This window comes from Homo sapiens, chromosome 8 (assembly GCF_000001405.40).
Source record: "Homo sapiens chromosome 8, GRCh38.p14 Primary Assembly".
NCBI classification, from domain to species: Eukaryota; Metazoa; Chordata; class Mammalia; order Primates; family Hominidae; genus Homo; species Homo sapiens.
In genome coordinates, this window is record NC_000008.11 from 104,484,466 (window position 1) to 104,496,860 (window position 12,395).

The window sequence follows — 12,395 nt, forward strand, 5'->3', positions numbered from 1 at the left end:
ATGTCTGAGACTCTGTCATAAGAGCCTTGCAGCTTCTGTATACTGTAACATTCATTCTTGGGTCCAGCTTCCATGCTCTAAGGAAACATAAGCAACCTTGAGGAGACTCATATGAAGAGGATCCCAGGCTCCTGGCTGAGCACCCAGCTGACAGGCAGCACAAACCTGCCAGTCACTCAGGTGAGTTCTTTGGGGAGTATATTCTCCAACTCCAGCAGAGGCCAAGAGGAGCAGAATGAGCCAATACCACTGAGCTCTGCCCACATTATTGATTTGTGAGAAAACTGAATGATTGTGGTTGCTTTAAGCACAAAGTTTGGGGGTAGTTTTTTATGCAGCAATAGATGGACAGAACAAGTGCTAAGGCCTTTACACGTTATCTTTATTCCTCACAATGATCTTATGAAGAAGCTATTATCCTTACCTCAAGATGACAAAGCTGAGGCTCAGTGAGTTGGCATAATAATCCAGGTCTGTCAACTCCAGCTTGATAGATATTTCTCCTGATAAATCTTACTTCACTTTATGATCCATCTTATTCACAGCTGTTGAGTCAGGCACGACTAAGGTTAAATCTTAGTTCTGCCCTTATTGGCTATATGACCTTGGATAAATAGAAGGTAAGTTTGTTACTTCACAGGACTGTGAAGATTCCAAGGATACATATAAAGAAATTGGCAGGTGATAGGCACTCAACAATGGGCAAATATTATTGCTTTGAAAATTCCTATAATGCAGAAGCAGCTGGTGGTAAAAGGCTCGCAGAATAGCATTTGATGGTGTGAATACCATCACGGTGTGGGATGCACTCATTTAGGAGCAGGCACGTGCAAAAATGTCAGAATGGCCTGACTTCTAATAGGAAAAAACCTCATGACATCACATGATGGTAAACCATGTATGCATACATGGCCTATGTTTACCTGTATGTATAACATAATATGGGTATATAATTGATTTAAGTCTAGAAAATTCCCGACTAAACAGCTATGTCTGTTACTTCATTTTAAGATTCCTTCCAGCTCTAAAATTCTGTGAATTTTACTTAGCATCCTTTGTCTACCTTGAATGTTGATTACCTTAGGAAACAAATGCAATCACAGCCAGCTATCAGCTCATGCCAATAACTATATACAATTTGCAATTTGTATGCTATTCCTGAAGAAGAGTTCAGGTATTCAGAGAAAAGGCCTTTCTCTCTACTGCCTGCTTCTACTAATTTTTAAACAGGGACCTTCCTGAGTAAAGCAGGTCCTATCAAGTTGCTGTCATCTTCTCCCCTGGAAATTTGGGGGAAAAGGTGTGAGGGAATGGTGGAGCAGGTGAAAGGAGGGCCGCTGTAAACTGCTGTGAACATTGCTGGGTCTGTTGTAGGTGCTCAATAAACACTTAGAGAATTCAATGAACTTGTTCTTCCTTTATCCCATTTAGCCTGTCTTACCCACTTATTTCCAGATGAACAGTGGATGACGGTGGTAAGCAGTAGTGAGAATTAAAACCTCAACAGCTTATTGAAAGACCCCTTCATCCTGTGCTTTTATATTCTTAGTGCTAGTGTATGACATGAGCCAGTAACAGGGCTTCTGGCCCATAGATCCCTTCTGATAACAGCTCCTTTTGTTTCCATTCTCTTCCCTACTAATATTGGTGCTCTGACTGACAAGACAAAGGACTGTATCCTGTTGAGAAGATCTAAAATCTGAGTAACTCCCACTAAAATCTGTATCCTGTAAAGAAATAACACACTTTCTAAAAGTGCTCTTGGGACATTTAAAAATTGAAAGACAATAACCGCCCCCCCAACACATATACTCTTAACATTCTGTTTTTGATGCCATAAAATGAAAAGAATCAGAAAACAAAACTAAGACTCACACCAAAAAATTATCATTATCTAGAAAAAAAAGCAAAGAAAAAAACTTCTTTTATACAACTTTTGGATTAAAGAAGGTATCAAAACTGAAACTTAAGAACATTTAGAAAATAACAGTAATGACATTAATGCAGCCAAATGATTCGCCTTAAGCAGTGCTCACACTTAAGTCCATGTCTTCATCTCTTCTTAAGAATTAAGAAGTAAAAATAAATTACATGCTAACTCGAGTTAGAAAAAAACAAAATAAACCAAGGAAAGCAAAATGTGGAAAACTTATTAAAGTGGAAATCAACTAATTAGAAAGAACAAAATTACAGAATAGAGACATCCAAGCGGTTTGGGGAAAATAAAAAAATACACAATTAAAAAAGTAGGTAAACTGTTAGCTACCTTTATCAAGAAAATAAGGGAGAAACTTTGGGAGGCCGAGGCAGGCGGATCACGAGGTTAGGAGATCGAGACCATCCTGGCTAATACGGTGAAACCCCGTCTCTACTAAAAATACAAAAAAATTAGCCGGGCCTGGTGGCGGGCGCCTGTAGTCCCAGCTACTTACGACGTTGATGCAGGAGAATGGCATGAATCTGGAAGGCAGAGCTTGCAGTGAGCAGAGATCGTGCCACTGTACTCCAGCCTGGGCGACAGAGCGACACTCCGTCTCAAAAAAAAAAAAAAAAAAAAAAAAAAAAAAAGAAAATAAGGGAGAAAGCATAATACAAACTAAGGGGCAACATCCACATGCATAGAAGACGAAGAGTTAACTTTCCTCAACTAGGCAAATAAATTTGAAAACTTGGGATTAAATGGATGGTTCCTGATCCAGATAGGATATAAAAACTACATGGATTAATTACCTAGATGATACCAACAAAGTTGTCAAAAAGCTGCTTGCCAAACATCCATGAAACCCAGATAATTTCACTGAAATTTTAAGAAACAGAAAATTTCAATGCTATTTAAACTGTTCTAGGGCATTGTAAAAGGAGGGAAGTTTCCAAATCCACAAGCATAAAATACTACACTTCTCAAAGTGAACACGTGTATGCATGCACACACAAACTATAGACTACTGATTAATACAAGTGCAAATATCCTAAATAAAATATGAAGTGCAGTCTAGCAATATATTAAAAAAATACACATGGCCAAAAAGAATTTATTTAAAGAATGTAATGATAGTGCAAAATTACAAAATATATTAGTAAAATTCATCTTAAAGGATCAAAGGAAAAAAAATCATATGATCATCTCCACAGATGTCGAAAAGGCATGTGATAAAATTAAACATGCAGTCTTTAAAAAGTTTTAAGACTAGGGATTAGTTGATACTCCTTAATATGATTAAATCTATCTCAACTCAATTCATTATAGCCAGTTATTGAACATTATTTTAGAAGTACTAGACAATGCAATTAAGATACAAAGAGGAATGCAAACTGTAACAATGGTTACATTATCAGTGTTTGCTGATGACAGGACTGTGTAGTTGGCAAACACAAACTAATTAAGTGAAATACTATTAAAAACAACAAAAAAATGGAATCAGGTAGCCAGGTAGAAAATTAACATAAATAATTGGCCTTTACATGCACTAAAATTAGGCAAAATTATAAACAGGATTTCATTAATAAAGGCAATAAAATGTAAAAATTAAAAAAAATAAACTCTTAAAAATGTATGAGATCTCTGTAAAGTGTAAAATTCATCTGAAGGAAACAAAAAAAGATGAAGGGGCATGATTTTTAGATAGTGCACCATGGTTTAGATAAAAAGCTTTAACATGATAATGATGTCAAATTCCCCTAAATTAATCTATAAAATTAAAACTGTCCAAAAAAAAAAAAAGTACCCATGGATGTTTTGTGGAACTCAACAAATTGATTGTCATTCAAATGGAAATATAAATAAGAATATTTGAAACACTTAAAAATCACAGTTATTAAAACAATAAAGGATTGGTACAAAAAGAGAAAAGCAGATCAACAGAAGAAAATACAGTGTAGAAACATACCCAAATAATATGGAAATGTACTATGTAAGTTCCATTTCAAATTAGTAAGGAAAGGATTTATTATTTAATAAATAGCTTTGTGAAAACTAGGTAGTCATCTGGAAAAAAGATAGTGAAGCCCTAAATTCAGGAGAGATCAATGATTTAAATGTAAAAAAAACAAATAACAGAAATGCTTGATCTTACTTTTAATATTCAAACTCTAATGATGTATTATTTCCCTTTGAGAAAAGGTACAGAAAATGTATGCATAGTTATGTTACAATTTGCATTACTATATATGGTACTGATATGCCTATGTACATATATGGTTATTTCTAGAGAGATATACAAGAATCTGGTACTGATATGTGTCTCTTTCAAGTGAACTAAAAGATGGGTGTTGGGATAGAAGAGGAATTTACATTTTACTGTTTGAACCAGGATGATGTATTAGTTAATTAAAATAATAAATTAAAACATATGCTAGAAAACCAAAACCCTTGTACTTGATAATATATTAGTACTAGGGCATAAAAGATTATTTGGTAACCCAAATTCTGCCAGTAGAATATATTATAGGGGTCTAAAATGTATGTGAAAACAATTTAAAAAGAGAACTGATTGTGTTACTGCATCTTGTGAGATACGTCAATTAAAAGGCAGTTTAATCAATTAAACTCTCTCATCTTGTGAGATACATCAATTGAAGGGCAATCTCAAGCAAAATAATATTCAAGTCCTTAGAAAATTTTACCCTCGAGTACTGGTAAAAGCTACTACTTTACTATAAAGTAGTTAAGGAATGATCTCCTTCTAATCATTTTTATTCTAGATATATTGCATATTTTATGGCCTGAATTTGTATATGCACCAAAATTCAACAAATAAAGAACAGCTTTGATTTAAAAAGTACCTCAAGGCAATAAAAAAAATCATTTTAATTTTTGATACATATTAAAACATCTTAGTCAGTTCCTCCTGACAGCATTAACACAGACAAATACACAAGACTTCAAACATGCTTTAAAATGACATTCAGCAAAGTACTTAAAATTTAATAAATAGCAAATCACACACAGATACATTTTTCATAATCATTAAACTACTAAAACAGACAGTTAAAGAATAAATAAACCGCAACTGACAGTAAAAAAAATATGTTGGGTTTTGCAATTCACACTACTTAAAAAGGGGGGATGATCTGAATGATTTCTTAATTTTCTTTTGAGAGTGTAGCATGATCCCCCCCAGGAATAAAATATATTGAAAAAATCACTCTTACAACAATGTATTTTTTAAATACAACAAATAAATATGAAACCAGCAAAGCAATTTCAAGTTGTAATAAAAATGTCCCCCGCCCCCAGCCAAAAGCTATGGAAATATATAGTTGCTGTGGTAGCAAATAATAGTATTTAAAGTGATAGTGCTTGTGCACTAAGCTCATCTGAGACCTTGATATAATTTTAGTGCAAATCCCTAGGGTCCAATGCAAGCGCAACCCTGTATTAGGGAAAGACATTACCAGGTGGAACTTATCTTGTACAATTTTTGTACATGTTTTATAAAGTTCAAGATTTAATGCATAGTAGAATATCTTCATCCACTTAATTCTGTTGCTAAATAGAGATGAAAAAAGAAATGACTTGGGATTTTACCATTTGGTTTGTACCATGTTAGAGTATTAAAGTCAACATTAGAAAATCTTTATAAAAGAGTTTTGTTTTTGCCAGTAATTTATCGAACTCTGCCTAAATTTCACATGATTGTATGTTAAACGTAAGAGAAAAATTTTTAGACAGTTTGTTTCCCACTGACAAGTTCATATGATAATGAAATCCAATAATAGACAAATGTCAAACAAATGAAAACGCAGGTGAGTATAAGGGTTTTTTTTTTGTACATTAACAACCTTAACATCTAGTATATTAAGTTACAAGATGTGTTGGCAAAAGCATAAACGTTTCAATTAAAATAAGGTATTATTTTGTAAAAACAAACCATTTAACATAGGATAGATAAAAATGACAATCAAATGAGTTTCAGCAGCCACATTTCTACAGTGAACTACAGTATCAGGATGAAAACAATCAGAAACAAATGAAAGGACATTATTGAACAATATGAATATGTGATGCATTTTTAGCTGCTAAAATAGTAAACTCTAAGTTCATAGAGTTACAAGTTGTCGAATTTAACCATGCAGGCTAACATATAATAATAAGAAATCACCCTGCATTTTTTCTTTTTAAACTAAAACTAGTTTAACTGTAAAGTTACAAAATAATAAATGGATATTGCTCCAACTTGTATACAATCTCCCTTATGTGATTCGTACCTAACAAAGTAACAAAGCCTCATCATCACTCGTTTCGTTTTTCAGTGTTACTTCTAAGCAAGTGTCTGGTATCTGGGCAGTGTGGACAATACCACAGCGCTCACAGGGGCCATCTCGATTACTTGGCCTTACTCCAGGATTTGTTGCATTATATGGTTGTCTAAGCCCTTGTCCTTGATCTGAGGCAAGATCAAGAAGAGGTCTGGAGCAGTCATTCACATCAAAGTCTGAAGATCCATCAGAAATTGGAATTAGCATTTCAACATCATCATCATCTTCTCTTCCACTTACCCCATTATCAAGTTGTCTCAAAGGACTCTGGTTCTGACTTAGGGAACTTGATCGTCCTAATGTAAAACGTACCCAGCGTAGCCCCTGAGTCATACGACTGAGTGCACTTGTAAGCTGGTGACGTGCTGGACTCACACTTGGGGGTTCCACACTTGTCACATCCCTTCCATTATCTGCATGACCACCTCGGGTACTCTGAGTTGAGGAACTTGCACATGCTCCTACTGTCGCTTCTACTGCCGTTGTGGGAGGGACTTTTTGAGGCAAAGGAGCTGCAACCCCACCAGATGCTCCTGCCATATCTCTTCTCTCATTTTCTGTGTCTGTATCATCAGACTCCACGGAAAACAAACTTCTGTGAGTATGATTTCTCTCAGGTTCTCTACTGGTACTCTGACTAGGGACAACCTCATCTCCATCTGCTGAGACCAAAGCCAATGACCCAGAATGACGTGATCTTGCAAAATTAAAAATACGGTTCCAAATGTTGCTTGATCTGCCTGCCATAGGAAGCCTGACTGAAGTAAATCCAAGCTGAGATCGTACCGCTAGCCTCAGATTTTCCAAAACAGAAGCCTACAAAAATAAGAAAAGATCTTAAGATAGTTAACAACAAGGTACTAAGATAAAAAAAAAAAAAAACACCCTTCTATTAAGAATGTGTTGTGGTTAAAAATTCTGTTACTCATTGTTGCTTTTGGGTCTAAGAAGGAAAAATTAAATTCTCTTACCTATGTGGGTTCATCCTACTACAGAATCTAATCTACTAATCTAACTTGAATCATTGTTTGTTTAAACTTTTCTTGATATTCCATTTTATATATGCAACTTAAAAATGATATTTAATGTAAATTATAACAGTTGTTTCAAAATCTCACATCGTAATCCAACATGAAAAGTGTACCAAAGCTAGAAAATAAAATTGATACTTCTGTAACTAGGAACATAGGAGAATCTCTACATAATTGACGAAGTGACCAAAATGAGTTTGTGAAAACGAGGACTTTTATCTTTTTTTTTTTTAAAGAACAAATTAGATTTAATTTACAAGGCTTAACTTTTCCAAAACATGTGAAAATTGTATTTCACAGAGTTGGTTCTCAAGCATTTGCTGAATGGATACTGAGGATTTAATTATATTGTCACAAATAAAGGAATTATATTTGTAATACAGCACCGAAGACAACAAGAAACAACAAAAGAACCTGTTTATATCATTACTCAATGGTATCGACATTTAGATTCCTTCTTAATCTTTAAAGTTTTATTTTCTATAGTTTAGTATTAAGTATAAATATATCATTCTTTGAAAACTAGTTAGCTGTAATTAGTGTACATGAAAGGTTGTCCAACTGAATAAAAAATCTATTCTTTTTTCTAGATGAACGAGTTTAGAGTTTGTTTTTAAAAGCATATAGCATTATATAAGATAGTCTTTAAGCTCCATCTAGTGGTTATAAAAAGAAGTATTCAAACTTGAAACAGCTTTCACCAACCTGGCATTTAGTATTTAAAAATTGTATTTCCAGGAAACAATCTTAAGTTGATATACTCTCCTTCAGTTGATGATACCATCTCCTGCCAAAACTCACACCTCTTCCCTTTCCCCTCACAGAAGAAAGAAGGTAGAAAATAAGGAAGATGTCCTCTTATGTTCTGTATCTCTTTGTGACTGGTATTGCATTTATTTATGCTTTCCATATAGGCCCTTCCATAGTGCCATGAACATAATTTATGATAAGAAGCTACTATCATAGGAACATTTCATAGTCTAACATTAGTAAGGCACAGATTGTCAATAAGAAATTTGGATATCAGCACACATGGATTTGCTATACAGATGAGTAAGAGTTTTCACCAATTAAGAAGTACCTAACTACAAATTAAAAAAAAAAAGAAAAAGAAAAAGCGGTTCACATTTATAATGAACTTCTCCACAGATCTGCTCCTCAACAGTGAGCATGCAAGTTTTAAGGCTTCATGTTGAGCACTATGCTATTATGTCCAGCAATGAACAAAAGGCTCTTCTGTTATCCTCTGTTGTGCTGCTATTAGCCATCAAGATCAACAATGCCTTCAACATACTTTATTGCTGACTTTAACATTTGGTTTGTCATACTGAGGTGAAACTCTCTATTTAGTTAAAAGTCAGTTAATTAGGATTGGCAATCTAACATTATATTTTATGAGGGGATCTCACGAATGTTCTAGGAATAATTTCATATACTTCTTCAGTTTATGAAGGAGAAAGCATTCCTCAAAAAGCGTTTCTCCTTTGAGTGAGATGGTGAATTACATCATTACTTATTTTTTCCAAAATCTGCTATAAAAATTTGGTAATTTGTTACCAAAAGCTTCAAACTTGAGAGTTTTTAATCTCATTAAATGAATACAATCTAACTTACCACCCATAAACATATTTTATTCTAAAATGTTGAAGTAGAATTCTCCCACGAGGGTACATATAACCTGAGAAACTGGGGTAGTGTGAGGTAATAAAGAATTTAACCTCACCCAAAGCCTCTGTCCTTGGCTTTTGGTACATCATCTCCAAGCCCTTCCACTGTCATGTCTGAAAGCAGTGTCTTTGCCTGGGGGCCTTGGACCAGCCAGATAGTAAAACTGATTTAGACTGGAAGCTCTGAACCACACCAACAGTGTCATGTAGGGTGAGGGCTTTGGGTCAGTCAATCTCTGGATAAGGCTAGAAACTGGGATTGGCCACATGTGCAATTAATCCTGCCTATGTGCTAGTGCACCAGTACAAACTCCGGACACCCGAGGCCTGGGTGAGCTTTCCTGATTGGTAACACTCCATGCATATTGTCACATATCTGTGTTCACACAGTAATGCCCTCCTGCCTCTATGGGGAAAGGACAACTGGAAGGTCCATGTTTGGTACCCTTCTGAACTTTGTCCTATGCATCTTTTCCCTTGGTTAATCTGTGTCTGTATCCTCTCCCTGTAATAAACTGTAATCGCAAGTGAGCTGCTTTCAGTGAGTTTTTTGAGTGTTCCTAGTAAATTATCAAACCTGAAGGGGATTTGGGGAACTCCTTGAATTTGCAATTGGTGTTAGGAGTGAAGACAATCTTGTGTGTACCGTGTTCTCTCTAACTTTATGGGGTTTAGGCATGGTGGGTGGTAGAGAATGAAGTAGGTGTGTAAAATTAACTGTGATCTGATTCTTACCTAAAAAAAAACTTTCCCCATAGCAGGGCTGATATAAAGAAGCCACAACTTAGGTTTTTCCTACTTTGCACACAAAATTCCAACAGTGGAACTTCTGAATGATTTACTTAGGAAATTACATATGGAGAAATGTTTTGAAACTACAAATTCTCACCAAAGATTTCCTAAAATACTCCAATAAGGTGATAGACTGTAATCAGAACTCACATTTACCAAAAAGGAGATGGTATTCTATTTTGAAAGTAATTATATTACTGGGAAAACAATGTTTACCAGTTTTAATTATAATACTGGAAACAACAGTTTTTATAAATGTTTCTGAATGAATTTACAATTTAAATGAATAAATCCTTATGCCTAAAATGAACACTGGCACATTTTTAAGCACTACGAGAAAAATTTTTTTAATTGCTAAGAAATTGAAAGAATTCAGAAACATATAATGAATTACTATATAAACAAAATGCTATAAATTGTTAAACACTGTAAAATCCAGCTTGAAGATGTTTTTCCTGAGGTAGAAATGTTAACTTCATTTTAATTACTTTTACTTATAAGTGGTTAATCTAGCATGTTATATTGCTAGCATATTAATTTTAGTGTTCATTCTTAAATCTTGCAGATGTTCAGGTCAAGTAAAAAATAATTTGCCAAGCTTAATACTTTTGAATTATAATGCACTAAATTATCCTAAACAGTAAAATGCTTAAGAATTGCACAACCAAATCAGAGGAATGAAAAATATACTTTTGCAGTTTGTAGTGTTAAACTATAATGAAAACTATGACTTCAAATCTTCCATACATTTAAATCCTTGATTGCAAAAATTCTGACAGTCAAGGGTCTTTGCTTTATCATATATACAGGCGCAGATTTCATTTTAAGAGGAAATGTAATAGAAATTACACATTGCAATATACCTGATTAGGTGAACAAACAGGAAAATCTTCAACTGGTGGAATTAAACCCTGAGCAATCAATTGTCCATACGAGGGAGGAGCTTCTCTTCTTAACAATTCTGCTTCCACTCTTGACAACTGTGTTTCAAATGATCTTTGAGAGTAGATGGAAAGAAAAATGATTAAAAGGGGGAGCGAAGAAAAAGAACAATTTTCTATTATCAGTAATTAAAACAATCTGAGTCTTGGCATATTTGATCATTTTAAAGCTTAGTCATTTGACAAACATTTACTGAATATATGTATTATCCCTACAGTGGGAATACAAAGCTGACGCAGGCAGTCTGTCTTCATAGGGCTTTATGCTAGTAGAAGCCTAGATCACTGAGTTTTAATAAATGAAAATCCCTGTAAAAGGTAAAGGGAGAAATAATACAAGATTTAAAAACTCCTAAGAATACTGTATTTACTGAATATACGTTGAAGCCACTGCGCCCAGCTGGGATCTTTGACTCTTCATTGTGCTCTTTTGTTGCAATGTGGTAAAAAGTTTTCTGGCCATTTACACTTGGCCAAAGATGCAGTGGTCGGGCGCCGTGGCTCACACCTGTAATCCCAGCAGTTTGGGAGGCCAAGGCGGGTGGATCACGAGGTCAGTAGTCTGGGACCAGCCTGGCCAACAGAGTGAAACCCTGTCTCTACTAAAAATACAAAAAATTAGCCAGGCGTGGTGGCGGGCGCCTGTAATCACAGCTACTTGGGAGGCTGAGGCAGGAGAATCGCTTGAACCTGGGAGACGGAGTGCAGTGAGCTGAGATCGCACCAGTGCACTCCAGCCCGGGTGACAGAGCAAGACTCCCGTCTCCAAACAAACAACAAAAAAAAAAAAAAGGAAAAAAAAGAAAAGATGCAGTAATGGTTATTACGATACTGTGCATCTGTGTGCCACCTATTAGCCATCTGTTACGTAAAAAGTTGTTAAATCTATTATTTGTAATTCTCCTGGGACTGAAGGTCATTGTCTCCACAGGGACATCTCTGCCATTAACTTCTGCCAGGTCCCATTTATCCTGCATCAAACTGAAAACTACTCACTCTGAAGGTCACTCTTTAACAGTTAACCATTTCTTACTGAACTGAGAACTCTGAAGTGCTGTTGTCACTTAACTCTACAACAGGACATTAGTCTTGTGTTCCAATCGTATCTCCTGTTAGCCCTTCATACGCATCCTGGGCTCCAGATAAACTGAATCATGTGCTTACTTTTTGAGCAATGCTGGACATTCCTACTTCTATATATTTTCCTAGGTTATTGCTTTAACAACACCTTTTCCCCTATCTATATTCTTCTACTCATACATTTCAAGTGGCACCCCTCCAATTAAAGCCTTTCTGCCTCTCTCCCTCATTAGATTACGTATTTTTGACTTTATACCATTTTGTTTCATAGCTCTTTATAGTATTATACTTTTGTCATCTTATTCCATGCCCCAATTCCTTCCTCCTAACTGTAAACTGCTTGTGATATTATGCCTTATTCATTTTTCTATTTACCTGTATGCTTTGAACATAGCATATAGAATAACTGGAATTTTTGAATTTGTATTTAGAAAAATACAGGTTAAAACACTAAAACTGAGAGCTGCAGCTTACAATATTCCTATAAAACAGATTAATCTGAAAACAGGAGCTGGTAAATAGATGGGCTTTTTCTCATAACTCTAAATATTTAGTTTGTAATGTGTCTGGCCTTCTGAGTCTCGGGTTTTTCACGCTAATTTTATACATCATCAACAATCTTTATC

The 12,395-nt window shown here is 35.1% G+C and overlaps 1 protein-coding gene across 2 annotated transcripts in view; it reads right to left on the reverse strand.

The window, feature by feature from the left end:
* Window positions 1–4,770: 4,770 nt before the first annotated feature.
* Window positions 4,771–12,395, reverse strand: part of LRP12 (LDL receptor related protein 12) — a 100,023-nt gene continuing 92,398 nt past the window's right edge. For both annotated transcript variants that reach the window (NM_001135703.3, NM_013437.5), the window contains 2 exons: window positions 10,612–10,744; window positions 4,771–7,074 (listed from right to left, as the gene is read on the reverse strand). In NM_001135703.3, coding sequence (NP_001129175.1) covers window positions 6,208–7,074; window positions 10,612–10,744 — 1,000 coding nt within the window. In that variant the 3' untranslated portion in view covers window positions 4,771–6,207. The remainder of the gene's footprint in view (window positions 7,075–10,611; window positions 10,745–12,395) is intronic.